The sequence below is a fragment of the Homo sapiens genome, chromosome 15 (assembly GCF_000001405.40).
Source record: "Homo sapiens chromosome 15, GRCh38.p14 Primary Assembly".
NCBI lineage: Eukaryota > Metazoa > Chordata > Mammalia > Primates > Hominidae > Homo > Homo sapiens.
The window spans coordinates 63,344,490-63,362,236 of record NC_000015.10 but is presented as its reverse complement, the minus strand read 5'-3'; the positions used below and the strand labels follow the sequence as shown (position 1 = coordinate 63,362,236).

General features: G+C 47.9%; 1 protein-coding gene across 4 annotated transcripts in view, besides 3 other annotated features; it reads left to right on the top strand.

Annotated features, from left to right (window-relative positions):
• CA12 (carbonic anhydrase 12) overlaps positions 1 to 17,747 on the top strand; it is a 60,469-nt gene that overhangs the window by 19,610 nt on the left and 23,112 nt on the right. For 2 of the 4 annotated variants that reach the window (NM_206925.3, NM_001218.5), the window contains exons 3-4: positions 15,528 to 15,707; positions 16,618 to 16,760. In NM_206925.3, the coding sequence (NP_996808.1) occupies positions 15,528 to 15,707; positions 16,618 to 16,760 (323 nt within the window). Of the gene's footprint in view, positions 1 to 15,527; positions 15,708 to 16,570; positions 16,761 to 17,747 lie in introns of all 4 variants that reach the window. The other 2 variants (NR_135511.2, NM_001293642.2) reach the window with 2 other exon arrangements.
• Positions 15,715 to 15,884: an enhancer, noted in NCBI's record as "experimental_40513 CRE fragment used in MPRA reporter constructs". NCBI's record gives its function as "activates a minimal promoter by MPRAs in K562 erythroleukemia cells, with activity observed for the non-introgressed 15:63638637 or rs34964685 variant allele {active_cell/tissue: K562}" and the evidence as "EXISTENCE:reporter gene assay evidence [ECO:0000049][PMID:34662402]".
• Position 15,799: a transcriptional cis regulatory region, noted in NCBI's record as "Neanderthal adaptively introgressed variant 15:63638637 (GRCh37/hg19 assembly coordinates) or rs34964685 in the experimental_40513 CRE". NCBI's record gives its function as "modulates activity of the experimental_40513 enhancer by MPRAs in K562 erythroleukemia cells {active_cell/tissue: K562}" and the evidence as "EXISTENCE:reporter gene assay evidence [ECO:0000049][PMID:34662402]".
• Positions 16,640 to 16,827: a silencer, noted in NCBI's record as "fragment chr15:63637609-63637796 (GRCh37/hg19 assembly coordinates)". NCBI's record gives its function as "represses an EF-1alpha promoter that drives an FKBP-Casp9 reporter gene in an ReSE screen in phorbol 12-myristate 13-acetate-treated (for megakaryocytic differentiation) K562 erythroleukemia cells {active_cell/tissue: K562(+PMA)}" and the evidence as "EXISTENCE:reporter gene assay evidence [ECO:0000049][PMID:32094911]".

Sequence of the window (17,747 nt, the reverse complement as noted above, 5' to 3'; positions counted from 1 at the left end):
TTACAGAATGGCAGTTGACAAACTGTGGCCCATGGGTCAAGTCCAGCCCAACACCTGTTTTATAAATAAATTTCTTTGGAACACAGCTACATTCATTTGTTTGCATATTCTCTGTGACTGCTTTTGGGCTACAATAGCAGAGCTGGTAGTGACAGAAACCACAGGGCCCGCAAAGCTTCAAAAACTTACTCTCTGGCCTTTTGCAGAAAAAGTTAGCCAACCCCTGATATAGAATGATGCCTGGCACATAGAAAGTGCTCATTAAATGGTAGCTTAAACAAAGAAAAGGGAAAGAAGCCTCACTAGTTCTTGAGTTTAACAAAATTTGAATGAGGTCCTATGATGAATGCTTAGACAATGACAACCTAAAAGGAACATCTAACACAGCTGTTTGTGTGATCAGTGCTCCCTGAGGGTGGTGATCTCTTCCTGCCTCCTCAATGCCAGGAGGTGCTGCCATCATGCTGTGTCCCATGGACTGGAGTCCCTCCTGACTGTGTTCTCCCACCACTCTTTCCTGCCCCAGAGAACGACTGACAGGGAGAGCAGCCAACTCCATCAAGATCAACCTCCGCTGTGGGGCATGCTCTGGTTCCTCTTTCCTCACGGCCCTGAGGGGACAATTACAATAGTCCAGTCTCGACCTTCCAGTCTCTTCCCTGTGGATATTTTGGGCAGGATAACTCTCTGTTGTGCAGGACTGTCCTGCACATTGCAGGATCCTTAGCAGATTCCCTGGCCTCTGCCCACTAGATGCTAGTAGCACCCCCCCAAGTTGTGACAGCTGAAAATGTCTTCAGACATTGCCAATGTCCCCTGAAGGGCAAAATCGCCCCAGTTGAAAATCACTGGCTTAGTCTAAAATAACATCACAGGTGGGGCAACAGCAACCCGGTCTAGGATGGCTTAACTTCATCCTTTGAAAAACAGTGTTCTTTGCAAAGGCACAAACTGCTAAAGATGCCTCCAGTTTGTATTATTGTATCATTAAACAGAGCATCTCACCTCGAAGCAGCAGCATCTGGACTGCTCCGTTGGGGGCTACACTTCCACTGGGCAGCTCCCTGCCTCACATCTGTGTAGGTAAGAGGGTCTATCAAAGAGCTACCTTCCACAGCCCAGAGACGGCCTGCCCCAGAGTGTGGAAGATGCTTATGAATCCCCCCACCCCTGGCCCCATGCTAGCTTTCCAGCTTCACTGTATTTACATCCGATGCCACCTCAAGTGTCAGGAAGAAACTGTTGACAGCTTTAAAATAATAGTTTATTCACCGATTCGCTTATTCTCCCCTCCAGTCTTTAATGAATCCCTTTGTGGGCTGGTCACAGGGAACCAGAGACAGAGCCCTTACCTTCAATGGGCTGGTAGGTGAGGGGGAGGTAGACATATAAGCAGGTAATTACAATGAAGCACACTAAGTGCTATGATGACGTGTGCTGGTGTTGTGGAACACAGAGGGGACAAATAACCTCAATTCGGGGGCATGTGCGTCTGTCAGCAAAGGCTTGCCTGAGGAGCTAATTCTGGAAACACACAGGAGTTAGCAGGGCAAGGAGAATATGTGAGTATTTATGTGCATGGGTGGTGAGTGTTTTAGGGATGAGGATGGCATCCCATTGCAGGCAACAGAGGCCCTAAAAAGCAGGCGAGAGCACGTGGCACAATTAGAGACTCAGTAGCCTAATGTTTGAGGGGTAGTGTTGGGAGACAGTTCTCCATGGGTCTTTCATGTTTCAGCATATCTGTGAACAGAGACACTAGACAGGTTTTGTTCCAGACTTGCTTTTAAAGGACGTTTATGTAACAAACAGTCTTAGATGATAGTGACAATATCTCCCTGCAGGGCAAAGAGTGATTTATTTGCTGTCAGCATAATAAAGATCACGTCTCCTTTCAGAGGTAAATGTTGGACAGGTTTGCTAGCCGCCCCCTTTAAAAGAATGAGGTTTCCCAAGCCTTGAGTTCCTCAGCCAATGATGCTGAGCAGTTTGCATATGCCAGTGTCACTTGGTCCACATATCATTCTGTGGAACTGGGGCTGGGGAAACAGGTGCAAACGTTACTCTGGCTACTGCTGTGAGTATTAAACTGTCCCTTGTCTCTGACCCAGGCATCTCATGTCTTCTGCCGATATCCATGAAACTGGCAGACTAACTTGTTAACTTGCAAGCAGGATAAAAGCTCTGACCCTCCACACTTTTGGACAGGTGATGAGTGGGGAAAGCAAAGCCTGGAGAAGTGAGTGGGATTGTGAAGGTCTTGTGTGCTACATGACAGAGCTTGATATTTATCTCAAGGAGCCACTGAAGAACTTTCAGCAGAGAACTGTCTGGATCTGGTGTGCACTGTTGTGGAGAGTGGAGAGCTGGAGGGTGAGCCTGGAGAAACACGGCCAATGAGGGGTACAGCTGTGGGGCAAGTGGTCTGAACAAGGGCTGTGCCAGTTGGGAGAGTGGCGGTCAAGTTTAAAACAAACTTCATACTATCCTTGATAGCATTTTTTTTCTGATCCAGGATTCAATCCAGATAGCATTTATCTGTGGTATCTCTTTAGACCTTTTATGCCCTTGACATTTCTGAAGCATGTAGAACGGACCTTGTAGCATATAGCATATAGATCTTAGAGAATGTCCCTCGATTTTTATTTGTCTGAGGGTTTCTCATGACGGGAGTGAGGTTGCATGTGTATATATATTTGTGTGTGTGTATGTGTGTGTGTGTGTACATATATATGGTTAGGGTTAAGGTACATATACACAGTAGAGGGTGTGAGAGAAAGCAAGTGTGCAAAATGTTAACAACTGGTGATTCTAGGTGATGGCTGGAAGTGAGGGTTGAAGGAGAGGAGAGGAACGAGTCAGTTGTGATCGCCAGGCATTTGGTGTGGTGGCTGGTATTACCAGCTGACATAGAGGGTTGGGGGGAGCTTTGGAGGGAGGAAGGGGGAGGAAAAGATGGTGAGTTTGGTTATTTTTAAAAATGATTTGCTAGCCTGAGTCCCCTTCCAGCCACATCTGGTTTTAGGATCCCATGGATTATCCAAAGGGGGTAGCCAGCAGGCAGGTGGTCTGGAGCTCAGAGGAAAACTGGGCAGGGGCAGAGCTGGTGTTGAAGCCATGGGAGGGGACAGCTTCACCCCAGGGGAGTGTGTCTGTAAGAAGGAGAAGGGGCCAACAACAAAACCACCGTGACAGCTGACATTGAGGGGCAAGTGGCCACAGAGATCTGAGAAAGGGCAGGGAAACGGGAGGACAATTCAACAAAGCAGTGTCCCCAGAAACAGAGGGTTCAGAAATCAGGAGTGGGGGGTTAGTGCCACCAGGGTCAAGGGCTGCATGAAGTGCGAGGGCCGAAGAGTCTGTGTGGACTCAGTGGGACATGGGCGTGGAAGAGCAGGGAGGTCTGAATGGGAAGTAAAGACACAGATGCGGGTATGCACACAGTTCTTTGAAGATGCTCGGCCGAGGAGACAAGAGTAATCAGGTCAGGGGCAAAAAGGGGTACTCGCCTGAGGAAGTAAACATTGGATGTCCACAGCTCAGAGTTAGTTCAAGGTCACATTCAAATTAGATACCCCGATTTCCCCCGGCCTGCTGTCTAAATGCCAAATCAAGTCATGGCTTCTCACCTACCGCTTCACACTCTTCACAAAGATGAGTGCTGGGAAGGCGGATGGGGAGAGGGAGCATTTTTTTGTCAGCCAGGGGAGACAGCTGTACCAGTGATGAAAAGCACCTGTGACATTTTCAAGTCTCTCTCTGCCAGGAAAGGAGCCTGTCACAAAAGCAGCCTCTGCCCACAGTATTCGCTCTCCCACTGGTTTCCCGTGAGTGCCGGGGAACATTGCTACATCACCCTGTGTGGAATATGGCTTTATGATCATGATCATTTGAAGTTTTCTCTTTTCACTCAAGAGCTTGTCACAAATAATAGCCTTGTTGACCCCAGGCCCTCATTTTCTGGAAACCAGGCTGTATTTTCTCCATCTTCCTTTCCTTCCAGCTGCCTTGCAGCACTCTGCACAGCTTATTTTCTAAAACTCAAACAGGAGAAACACCAACATTTTATTTCGGTCAATAACTATTTTACACAAGAGAATCCATAGCAATTTAACTAGAGTCAAATATTTAAACTACAATAAAATGCAGTCCTATGAATGAATAACCAAATTGTGATATATCCATAGAATGGGATATTATGCCATCATAAAAAGGCATGAAGGCCCTTTTTATTGCATAGGAAGGAATGCTACAACATGGATGAACCTTGGAAACATTATGCCAGATGAAAGAAGCCACCTGCAATTGACCACATATTGTATGATTCTGTTTATATGAACTATCCGGAAGAGGCAAATCCATGGAGGCAGAGAGCAGATTAGTGGTTGCCCGGTGCTGAGAGCAGGGAGAGTGGGAGGTGACTGCTTCACAGGTATGAGGTTTCCTTTGGAATATTGAAATGTTCTGGATCTAAGTAGGGGTAATGGTTGCACAACATCGTGAATATACTAAATTTTACTAATGGTAGTTTTATGCTCTATGTATTTTACCACAACAAAAAATTAATTTAAAAAAAAAAGAAAGAAAGAAAGCAACTTCACCCTGAGACCAGAGAGAAAAAGGCCCTGACTCTGCTCACAAGAACCACAAGGCCTTCAGTGTGATGAGGGTTTCACAGCAGCTCTTCCCTACTTTGGCTGCCCATGAGAATCATGTGAGCAGTTTTTTAAAGCACCTCCCACCTCAACACCAAGACCAATTAATCCTGATCTCAGGGACTGGGGCTGGGAGCAAAATCAGGAGCTCTTGGAGATTCCACTATGTAGCCATGGTTGAGAAATATGGCTCTGGGCTGGGGATTCTCCAAATGTGGTTCCTGGACCCAGCAGCAGCAGCATCACCTGGGAATGTGTTAGAAATGCAGATGCTAGGGCTCCGTCCGTGAAGTACTGAATCAGAAACTCTGAGGGTGTGGCCCAGCAGTCTGTGTGGGAACAAGCCCTCTAGGAGATTCTGATTGTGCACTCAAGTTCTGGCAACCACTATTCAAGTCTAGGCCAAGTAAACTACAGAGTTTTTCTCAACCAGTGAGTATTCATTGAGCATCTGCCATACGTTTGGTTCCATAAAGGGTGCCGTGAAAATAAAAAGACCTATCCCAGCTCCTCTCAAGCATCTGGTGGGTTAGATTCTTGGAAAAGAAATGGTACATTAAAATGAGATCAGCCTTTTTACGGCTAAACAATATTCCATTGTATGTCTGTGCCACATTTTGTTTATCCATGCATCTGTTGATGGACAATTGACTTATTTCCACCTTTTGACTAATATAAATAATGCTGCTATGAACACAGGTGTACAGGTATCTCTTTGAATCCCTGCTTTTAATACTTTGGGATCTATATCTAGGATTAGAATTACTGGATCAGGCCAGGCGTGTTGGCTCACACCTGTAATCCCAGCACTTTGGGAGGCCAAGGTGGGTGGATCACTTGAAGTCAGGAGATCGAGACTGGTGAAACCCCATTTCTATTAAAAATACAAAAATTAGCTGGGTGTGGTGATGTGCATCTGTAATCCCAGCTACGTGAGAGGCTGAGGCACGAGAATCGCTTGAACCCAGGAGGCAGAGGTTGCAGTGAGCGAGATCACGCTACTGCATTCCAGCTTGGGCAACAGAGCGAGAGACTCTGTCTCAAAAAAAAAAAAGAATTGCTGGTATTATATGGTAATTCTATCTTAACGTTTTAAGGCACCGCCAAACTATTTGATGTTCCCACCAACAATAAATGTTTGAGATAATGAAAAAGCTCTGTTATGTATATTTTACTACAATTTTTAATTTTTTATTTGAGATGCTCTGTCACCCAGGCCGGAGTGCAGTGGCGCAGTCTCAGCTTACGGCAACCTCCATCTCCTGGATTTAAGCGATTCTCCTGCCTCAGCCTCCCGAGTAGCTGGGACTACAGGCGTATGCCACCATGCCCAGCTATTTTTTGTATTTTTAGTACAGACGGGGTTTCACCATGTTGGCCAGGCTGGTCTCCAACTCCTGGCCTCAGGTGATCTGCCCTCCTTGGCCTCCCAAAGTGCTGGGATTACAGGCGTGAGCCACCGTGCCCGGCCGACAATTTTTAAAAAGAGATTAAGCCATGAAAACATGGTTAGAAACATGACCATGTTTCTGATGGTCAACACTGAATAAAAATTACTTCAAACACCATATTTAATCATGTAAATGTTATGCATATAACAGTGCATGAAAAAGACGGTATCTGTAGTCCTTTCTGTTCAGAGATGGTTACCAGTCGTTGCCTGAGCCTGGAGCCCCCTATTTGAATATTATGTTTAAGAAAGACAGAGCAGGATGTCTTGCGAGGGCGGTGGCTACAGGGCTGTGGACTTAACACTTTCACATCTAGCACGATTCCTCACATGAATGGGCCAAGGAAGATGAAGGAGGATAACATGTGGTGAGCACTGATGGGGGGCTCAGGCCTGGCTAGTTTTCATGATAGGGGTTAGGTTGTTAGCATGTCAGCAGTTTGTTTAACTTAGTGGTTTGCTGTTGTTTGTTGCTTAGTTCAAGAGCTGTTTGTTGAACACTTCAGTGTGCCAGGCTCTGCAGCAGGAGCCAGGTGTACACGCATGCAGAAAGCGAGCTGACAGTCTAGTGCAGCGCTTCTCAGCCTCAGCCCGCAGCAGCATCGCCTGGCAGCCTTGTCCAACGGCAGATGCTGGGCGCCACCCCCAGAGTGTCCGGTTCGGTAGGCCTGGGGTGGGGCCCGAGACTCTGCATTTTGAATGAGTTCCTAGGCGGTGATGATAATGCTTGTCTGGAGCCACGCTTTGAGAACCACTGGACTACTGGGGTGGAAAGGCAGACAATATTGCTTTGATCAGTGTGGCTGCTGCAAGGAAGAGAAATGCAAAGGCTGTATAGGAGCACAGAAGAGGGGGAAACCCTTTGCCCTGCCCCAGCGAGGGGAGGGTGTTTCAGGGAGATGTGAAGCAGCTTGGTGTGTCTGCAGGATGCAAGCAGCTCAGCGCTGCTGGAACGAAAAGGAGGGGTGGGAGCAGACACAGAAAAGTCCAGAGAGAGGTGGGCAGAGCCTCTCCACGATGAACATACTCTAAGGTCACAGGTCATGAGAACCTAAGAGGAGGTTAGAAATGGAGAAGCAAAAGCAAACAGATCGTCACCCTTTACCTTTGGCAGCCTGGAAACCCCACCCGCCTCCCTGTAATAAACCTCATCTCCAGAAGGAACCTGATGCAGGCCTTGACACCAGTGTGTAAATGACTGCGGAGCCTTTTTGTCCCCGCCTCATCCCCCACCCAGCAATATTAGACGGGGATTATTGGCGGGGTGGAGGAGAAGGACTTCCTGAGGGTGGGTGGAGGGCTGAGCTGGCAGCCCCAGCCTTATGGTTCACCTCTTCTGGCCTCCAGCCTGCACTCCTGGCCCCCACCACCATGGCTGGATGGGAAATGATTCCCATCTCTCTCTGTGTTAATACATCCATCAGTCCTGCCCCTGTGACTAGAGCCACAGAGAACACAGCTAAGCCACAAGACTCAGAGGGAACAGCAGCCTTCATGTCCCCTCTAAATCCATCTGGAAATCAGACATCCTCAGGATGGTGTCTGCATGTAGAAGCCACTTTTTTTGTTGTTTAGAGATGGGGTCTTGCTATGTTGCCCAGGCTTGTCTCAAACTCCTGGGCTCAACTGATCCTCCTGCCTCCCCAAGGGGAGATTTGGGGGGATTTACCAAGCCCAAGTCTCAACCCTCCGTCTCCAGCTGACCCAAACAAAAATTAGACAAAAGTTTGATGCAAAGTATGGATTAAAGCATCTTTAGAAAATGTGTTTATTTTTATTGATCTATAATGTAAAATCCAAGAAAAAGAGTTGGCCTGCTATGGCAAGTCCAGCTTTGAGCTTTATTCATAACAAGTAACCCTCCCCTTCTAGCCCTCCCTCACTGTCCCGGGACCACCTCTGATTCAGTGGTGATACTGACAAAGGAAAACTCTAACGCTAGTTTGATTCCTCGCCCTCTGTTTGTACATAATAACATCATAAGACCTCATCCATCAATTATTAACCCATGTCCTTGGTCACCTCCTTTCCTTCTGGGCAGGACATTGGGGTTTATGACTGTGCCTCTCCGCCTACCCAGCAGGAAAACAGGTAGAATTCAGCAGGTTGTGGCCTTCTGTGCGGTGGGTCAACCTCTTACCAAGGTGATGCTGTGGGAACCACACTACTGACTGGCTGAACCCACTGGGTTTTTATGAGAAGACATAGATATTTTAATCAGCTTCAGAAGTGAACTGCAGGACCTATAAATATATTTTAAACATGTTTTTAAAATGTAGCTTCTAGGCTGGGTGCAGTGGCTCACATCTATAATCCCAGCACTTTGGGAGGCTGAGGCAGGAGGATCATTTCAGCCCAGGAGTCTGAGACCAGCCTGGGCAATATAGCAAGACCCCATCTCTTTAAAAAAATGGCTTTTACATGCAGACACCATCCTGAGGATGTCTGGTTTCCAGATGGATTTAGAGGGGACATGAAGTCTGCGGTCCCCTCTGAGTCCTGTGGCTTAGCTGTGTTCTCTGTGGCTCTAGCCACAAGAGCGGGACTGTTGGATGACCCCCAGAGAGAGGCAGGTACTAGCCTCCCAACAGGAAGACCTTTCTAACAGATGGAGGAATGTACACAAGCAGGTGTCAAATGATCCTAGCTCAGCCTTGGCACAGGGCAGGACCCAGACCTGGCAAAGGGAGGCCGGATGGATCCCAGACTCTTTCTGAGTCAATGCATCACACATCCCTAGAATATACCAGCCTCTCCACTGCAGCGGGGCCTCTGAGCTTGCTGGGCCCTCTCTAGTGAACGCCATTCCTCACGTTTCACTCATGGTTGGTTCTACTTGTCCTTTAAATCTCAGCTTTAACGGCGCCTCCTCTGGGAAGCCTGCCTGCATCATCTGCTTGACAGGGATCCCTCCATTTTTCTGTTGCAGCCCTCGTTTAATTCCTTTGCAGCGCTCATTGCAGATTGCAATTATTTCCTTGTGCATTGGTTTACTTGTTATTTATTATCAGTCTCTTACACTGGTCTGTGAGTGCCGCAAGGTCAGAGACTAGAGCTGTTTTGTTCTCCATTGCATCTTCAGCACCTAGTACAGTGCCTGACACATACTAGACACATTTGTTGAAGAAATGAATGCATTAACTCCAAAATTAAATTGCACTCCAAGAAGGAGAGCATTTAGAGATTTTTCTCCTTCATTCAACATTTGAGTACTCGTTTTTTATTGCAAATACAATCCATCTTATTAAATGTGTATTCAAATTTGGTACATAATTTTTGATCATTTTCATATAGATACACATGCCTTTCATTATGGTCAGACCTCCTTACAAAACAAACTTTGAGGGACTAACCAAAAGCTATCATTGTCCTGAAATTGTGCCTATTTGTTGAAAAAGGGCGTGTCATCATCTAGAATGTGTAAACTTTGCCACTACAGTGGTATCCTTTGGGGCAAGTTTTGATCTGACTGCGTGTTGGTAGCCGGCCCAAAGAGATGTACCCTGGAGCTTGGGCCCAGGCAGGTTCTCCAGGAAGCTGCCTGCAGTGAGCACTGACACAGACACAGGGGGGTCCACCTCAGAGTATGACCTCCAAGAAGTGTCATGGGGCAGAATTAATGTTGACTCTGGTGCCTGGATCCCCCCACTGTCTTCTCATGGCTACCTTTCATCAGTGAGCCCCTCTTTCTTCTGTCTCCAACCTTCCTTCTCTGGTCTCTTTTGCCGTCTGCATAGCAGTTTGCTCAAGCCTCTTCATAAAAAACAAAAACACAGGCTGGGTGCGGTGGCTCGCGCCTGTATTCCCAGCACTTTGGGAGGCCAAGGCAGGTGGATCGCTTTAGGTCAGGAGTCTGAGACCAGCCTGGCCAACATGGCGAAACCCCATGTCGACTAAAAATATAAAAAATTAGCTGGGCGTGGAGGCACGCACCTGTAATCCCAGCTACTTGGGAGGCTGAGGCAGAAGAATTGCTTGAACCTGGGAGGCGGAGGTTGCAGTGAGCTGAGATTGCACCACTGCACTCCAGCCTTGGTGACAGAGCAAGACTCAGTCTCAAAAACAAAAACAGAAACAAAAAACAAAATCTTTCACATTACCCTCACCTTACCATAACCACCACGCATACACCCTTCTCTCATCCCTTTATGGCTAAATTTCTGAAATGAGCTTAAAAAAACCCTCCACATCCATTCAAGGATGTGTTCAGACATAAGTAGGGATATGACATAAAGTTCTGGTCTTCCAAAGGTCTTTGAAACTCATATTCTGAGCTCTAGTCTGTAATAAGTTTCTGTACTAGTCTGGCTCTAACAGTCACAGGTGAGGCAGGCTAACAATCATCACTGCTTGCTAGTGTGCACAACCCGAGTAGGCTGGCCGAGAAGTTCAAGTCAGGGACTAGAAAGCACTGGGGTAGCTTTGGCAGGACCTGAGCTGGACTTTGAAGAGTGGACGAAATTTGGAAAGGTGCAGAGGAAAGAAGAGGGCATTTGAGCAGATTTTTTCATAACGGCATTTGTGAAGGTGGGTTGGCATAGCCTGTTCTTAGGCTCAGGGAGCTGGCTGAAGCATGGGGCAGGCTGGGGCGGGATGTGGGGGCCTTTGAAGACTTTGACAGGTTGGGGCACTTCAAGGCCATGAAAAACAGCTAGGCTGTGCTTTGTCTTGTTGGGGTGGGGCAGGGCATGCTAGGGAGAAAGGGAGTGTACGGATGGGTGGTGGGGTGGTGCCACCCAAGCCAGGCTATGACAAGATTGATCTGGTTACTGCAGGAGAGCCAGCCTGGCAGTGTAACAAGGAAGGCTGGGGCTGGTTGCCTGTGGGAAGCCTTTGCAGTGTGACATGGCGAGGGCCTAACCCATGGAAGCATGGGAGTCCATGACCCACTAAGGGCAAAGGATAGACCAAGCTGGCTCTGAGATGTTGAGCCTTGGAGGAGCGGGGCCCAGGTGTTCTCTGATGAGGCATTCCACCATCAAGCTGTAATCTAGGCCATAACACATCCTCTAATTGCAATATTGCAAAAAATATATGGACTGTATGTGAACCCTGAAATTTACAAACTGTTAAAAATTTATGACCTATTTGGAAAAATTTGAATTCTAATTGGATTCGGTAATCTTAAGGTATTAATTCTTAACTCTCTAGGTGTGGTCATGGTACTGTGGTTTTAAGAGCCCTTATGTTTTAGAGAAACATATGAAATATATACAGATGAAATATATCTGGATTTGTTTCCAGTTATCCAGGTAGATAAGGGGAGAATGGGCTTAGCATAGATGAGGCAGGACTGTTTCTGAATTGTAAACTGTCCAAGCTGGGTGACATGGGGTTCATTCCACTCCTCTCTCTACATTGTATACATTTGAAATTTTCTGTAAAAACATTCTGGTCCTTGGATAATGCAGGTCCTACACCCTGGGCCTCAAAATTCCCAATCAGAAATCACGAGAGGCATTTTGAGCTGTGCCATGTTAATCTCTTGTTACCTTTCGAAACAGGAATTCTGACCACTTCTGTTTTGCCTAGAGCAGGAAAAACACATAGACAGGAAAGAAATAATGCCTTGGCTTTATTTAGAAAAACAAACTGTGAAAGACACGTGATCCTCCTGTATCACGATCATGGGAGGAGTCCAACCAACTGGAGAGGCGAAGTCAAAACTCAGAAGAGCAAAGGCAAAGTTTTAGCTGGAAATAAATGCTTCTTTTAGGAGAGTCACTCCCAGTGGAGGATTTCTGGCAGTGGAGCACTTGGCATGAGTGTGAAAGCTGACACTGAGTTGGAAAATGGTAGCCCAGGGTGTAGCGGCCAGCATAAGGCCAGCACTGTGCAGTCACATGTCACAGCTCAGGGAACAGAAAGGCCTGCTGTTGTCACCTCTGATATTGGTTGTCCCGGTGCCCACCCTCATGGCACCTCTATCTCTCACATGCCACAAAGACAGGAGGCTGCTCTGACAGTGTCCCCAGCTATGCAAGGCGGGGACACCCACTAGCCATTACATGCTGGGGGAGGGCCCTATGAACTTCCTTGGCAGGCCGTCTCCCAGGCTACAGGGCAGAAATCAGATTTCTTTTTCAATTAGTGCCCCCAAACAGAAACCATTTGCACACAGGTAAGCTAGAAAGCTAGGAGGGTACATTTTGAACCTGAGCAAGTGATCTCATTTTTCCTCCTCTTTTTTGAGGAGAAGAAATACATGAGGGAATTAAGGTGGGTGCACGTTCCCTGGGAAAGGAACAAGCATGAAACAGGTGTTGAGAGTTCAGCTTAGTAAACATGTGAGGGCCCACTCTGTGCCAGGCACTGTGGGAAGTGCAGCGATGGATGAGCCGTGGTCCTTGTCTTCAAGGACAGCGTGGGGAAGCCAGGAAATTCCAGGTGCACAAAATCTCCTGGATAAATACTGAAGGACACATAAGTCCTGTGACCCAAGCAAAGTAACTGTTACTTAGCCAAAGTCAAACTTCCGGCAAATCTCTTAAATCTCTATTTTTCACCCATAAAATGGTGCAATTCTGCCTTGCTTACCCCGTAAGGTTATAGAGTTATAAGGATCAAAGCTACTACAATATAATAACAATGAGGAGGAGGAGGAGGAGGCGAAGACAAGGCTTTCTTGACCTTGCTGACCTACAGACCTGTGACTGGTGCCCAAGGACGAACTCCGCTGTGGATGGCAGCCAGGACCAGGGCAGGTTCCTGATGCAGATGGCTGTCTGATCCCAGCCAGTCCTGGAGCACCGGTGCCCTGTGCCCTCATTCCCGAAGCTGGTTCCCCTGGGCACCTTGTCACATGCCCAGTAGCTGCCTTGACATGAGCAACCTTTCTGACTCATTCAAATTTGCCTGACAGATGGAGAAGGTGCTTAGTCCTAGTATTCTTAATAAATATCAGAGCTTAAGAGCCAGAAGGAACCTTCCAGAACATAGCTTCCACACACATCCCATCCCCACCACTACGCCCACCACCCCCACCATTTGCACGAAGGGCAATGGAGGCTCCAGCAGGGAACATAACCCACTGAAGTGTTGGGACAGCTGATGCTGGAATCTCATTCTCTGGACTCCCCTGGTCCAACATAGCTGCTTCTCTTTCCAAGACAGGTTTTGCCAACACCAACTCTACTGCCTTTAATATCCTTAGTCTTTCCTGCCCCCCAAATACCTTATTTGGTCCTAACTTCCAATAAAGCGTATTTAGAGCAAGAGAAAAAGGAAACATTCCCCAAGTCACATTTTCCCAAGCCCTCTGTTCTTTTTCACTCTTTGGGAAAATGTTTCCTAAATGCCCATGGGGGCACGTGACCCTACTTATAATATGGGTTCACAGAGACGAAGATGAGGGGTCCCTATCTTCACGAGGCTCTCGTTTAGCTATCAGTAAAATGCCCTCTTGATGAAACCTTTTTGAACCTCCACTGTGGGAAAAGAAAACCCTTCTAATCCAGTTCCCTTTAGTCATGTGTGCAAAGAGAAAGCTTCTCAATGATGCATCTCTTTACTTCCTGAGTTTTTTGCATTCATGCCTGGCTGGCAGCTTCCGCCCTGCTGGCTGTGGGCCCAGGCAGTATTGTGAGCACAGAAAAGGCTGGCAGCCTCACTTAGGGAGTCTTACCCTGTGCTGTGTCTCTTCCTGACCCTGGGGTTCTACATGAGGCCTCACGGTTGCTTCATTCTGCTCCCCGCTGCCCCTAAAGCATTCGGTTTGGCCCCCAGCTGAATAATTGTCTTACTCCAGTTTGGCCCTGGAGTGCCTGCTTTGATATCCTCCAGCCTCCCTCTTCCCTAGTCACCATCTTGGTGTAGTTGAGTTATTTTGAGGCCTTGAAAATAAGAATAGTAGAGCTCAGCGGAGACTCTGCCATGCCCAAGTGAGAAGACTGGTGTCCAGTGAAAGGTTGGACTGGAGATTCTGCAATTCCGTCATGCTGTAACATTTCTGAAAATGCATAGCCTAAGGTTGACAGCCTGAAAAATCAGTAGGGTTCCGATGTGTGTGTCCGGACCTAGAAGTAAGAACTAACTAAGCCTGGGACCAACGCCTCATAGCATTTGAAATGAACCTGGGTACCAAGTATCACTTCGGATTCTTCCCACTCTCAGATACGGTCCCCTAGTTAGAGAGCACGATGTAGGGGGTTGGGATTCTGTGGGGCCAATATAACATTTACACCCTTGTGAAACAGTGCAGGGGTCTACAGAAGAATTCCCAGAAGAGGTGGTGTTCCTTTCCCCTTTTCTCTATTTACCCACCTTCCTTGTGTTGAAATACTGATGAACGGACCCCCAGATGGCAAAGCTTGATCCCCAGCTCTGATAGAGCCCACAGGACACCCTGGGTCTACCCTAACGAGCCATGACATGCCAATTCTTTGCTTTTCTGGAGAAACCTTGGCCTGAAAGTCTGTTTAATTACCGTGGAGATAATCTTTTAAACATAGATTTACATTCTTTAAAGACTTTTTCCCTGTGGGAGTAGGAAAGTTCATCTGCACATAGCATGTTTATTTTCATTTCCAGGGGAGGAACTGCTATCTGGTAGTTAGCAAGAAGCTTGAGCCCTGGAGGAATTTCTTTTTTTAAAGTCTGTTCCTCTTCACTGATAGTGTGTCAATTATATTGTAATAATTAGTTTATAGTGTGGTCATATTTTTTTCCAGCTTAAACTCTGCACTTCACTCTGTGATTCCAGGCCTATAATTATTTAACATTTGTCAATCATCCCTATCAGATTGGGTTCTATAGTTACTCTAAATGTGGGTATCAAGAGTCAATGTCCTCAGGGGTTTCTCTTCAGGAAGGTCATACTTGCAAAGCCAGCAGCCACAAAGACCTATTTAGGTTGGTGCAAAAGCAGTTGTGGTTTTTGCCTGAAAGGAATGGCAAAAACCGCAATTATTTTTGCACCAAGATAATACTTGGCACTGTGGTCAGTAAGACACTAATTTTTCCCACCTGGGGTGGCCCCGCAGATTTGCTAAATTCTTCCCCGCTAGAATGCCAGCTTGGATGAGCAGGGGCTCTATTGTATTCAACCTGGCAGCCCCAAGACCCAGAGTAATTCCTGGCTCATAATAGGTACTGGCTAAGCAGATGCTGAATTGCTGAAAGTCAACAGGTCTTGACGTGTGTGTCAAACAGGAACAATGTACAAAATAAAGCAGAGTTCGGTGGCCTTCTGGCTCTGGCCTGTGCAGCCCTAGTCCTTCTTTCCCCACATCACTTAAGAGCAGGTGGTCCTGAGTGGTTGCTGGACCTGATTCTGGAGGCCAAGACTCTGAGCCTTGAAGATTTACCTCCGGGGATTCAGAAAAGAGGAGAAAAGGAGTAATTGTATTGAACAGAGAATTAGAAGATAAGGAAAATCCCTTTGTGAGAAACTCTAAATCTTGAGCATGGATCTCTGTGTCCAGGTCCTGATGGGGAGAATAGCTGGTCCAAGAAGTACCCGTCGTGTGGGGGCCTGCTGCAGTCCCCCATAGACCTGCACAGTGACATCCTCCAGTATGACGCCAGCCTCACGCCCCTCGAGTTCCAAGGCTACAATCTGTCTGCCAACAAGCAGTTTCTCCTGACCAACAATGGCCATTCAGGTGAGGGAGAGGCCTTGGAGACCTGAGGGGTATGTCTGAGTCTCCCTCAGCTGCCAGGCCTGTCCTTTTCCATCTGGCAGGGAGGTGTTCCGTGGAAGCATCCAGGAGGAGGGGTGGGGCGGGGCGGGGGTGTCTTTGAGAGATTCCAGGAGCACTCTCTCCAGGGGATGCTGGAGGCTCTGGGCTCTGAGGATCCTGCCAGGGCCGCACTTCCCAGAAGAAGCACATCTCTCAGGATGGGGCAGGAGACCGGCCTGAGCACTGTAGTTCATTGGCTGTGCAGCTGGAGTGAATTCTGGACCATAAACGATTCAAGGAACCACACAGTTTGGCGGGGGGTGCCCAGGCTTTGGAGTCAGACCAACCTGGATTTGAACTCTGGCTTGACTGCTTACGAGCCATGAGAATCTAGGTGAGAATTTTAGTCTCCTTGAGCTTCCATCTGGAAATGGACATATTGATGGATACCGTGAAGACTGGAGATTATGTACGTTGGGGTCTGGCATACAGAGTGAAGTAAATGCTTCATAAATAGCAGTTATCGTTGCTGTTGCTATATAATTCTAAAGCTTGGAAGGTACTTCACTAAAGGTGTCTGATCCATCAATATGTAAATAAACACCCATCCGTTGGTCTAGTGTTAGCGTTTCTGGCATCACTTTCCAAGGTGAACCAAGAAGGTGCTGGTGCCACTGGAGTTGCTTTGGGGAAAAGGGAACATTCTCAGGGAAAGAGCCCAGGTGTCTGACCTTTAGGCTGCATCTCTGCTCCGCACCTCACTCCATCCACCTGCCTCTCTCTGGGCTCCAGGGGGTGGCAGCAGGGGTGGAGGGAGCATTGCCTACCTGACTGCTCTCTGGCAGTGCACAGCTGGCCGGGGCTCTGAAGGCTGCTCCTCCACTCCCCGCAGTGAAGCTGAACCTGCCCTCGGACATGCACATCCAGGGCCTCCAGTCTCGCTACAGTGCCACGCAGCTGCACCTGCACTGGGGGAACCCGAATGACCCGCACGGCTCTGAGCACACCGTCAGCGGACAGCACTTCGCCGCCGAGGTAAGTAGGGCTGCCAGTCTGGCAGAGGCTGCTCTGCAGTGGGTGGTGTGGCACCTTCTCGACCTGGCTGCTGTGCAGATAACACCAGAGCATGGGACAGGCTGCCTTCAGGCTCTCTGCCCCACCTCTGGCCCTGGCACAAGGGGCGCAGCCACTCCACTAGCCTGTAGCTCATCTGCACTGTCCTGGTCCCTTTCTTCTCCTGAACATGCTAAGTTTGTCCCTGTGTCTTTTACTGAGTGATGCTGCTGGGGAGGCAGTATTCCCAGGGTGGCCCAGTGGGACATACATGCCCTTCTTTTAGACATTGCCTTCCTATCTGTGCAGATAAAAATCTCCTGCTGACTCACACTGGGCTCACTGCTCCCCCAAACTTCTCAGCCTTTCTTCATATGTCATGCTGTTTGCATCATTTTGATGCTATCTTTCCCTCTCTGGGCATGGGTTGTGTTTAGAACATGGGGACATGGGTCTAGGGCCACCCTTCTACCTGGCCACAAGTCTAGGGGTACCTGGCAGTCTAATGTGCAGGGCATCACGGCAAGCAGACTCACTAGGGACAAGATGTCAGCCAGCACAGCATCGTGTCATGTTGCCTTGAGAAGCTACTCCGAAATGCCAAAAGAAAATTAGAAGACGGGCAGAGCATTTGTCCTATGCAATTGCAGGATGGGGTGGGGCAAGGAGGGGGTTGAGATGCTCCATTTTGGCACTCCAATAGCCCTGAACTGGGGGTGTGGCTCTGAATATTTACAGGGAAATACAAGCAGATAAATGCTGCTGACTGATCAGCCAGGGGAGTCCGTGGTAAATAGAGACCATTCCCCTCCAGTCATAACTGCTGAACTGCTTAATGTTTCAGACTAATCATAGGTCTACTTGCAAGCATGGAAGGGATAGGATCTGGTTCAATAGGATGGTACCACTGGAGGTTCACATATTTCAGAGCGGCCCTTCCCTGAAGCTCAAGAACTGAAATTTCCTCCA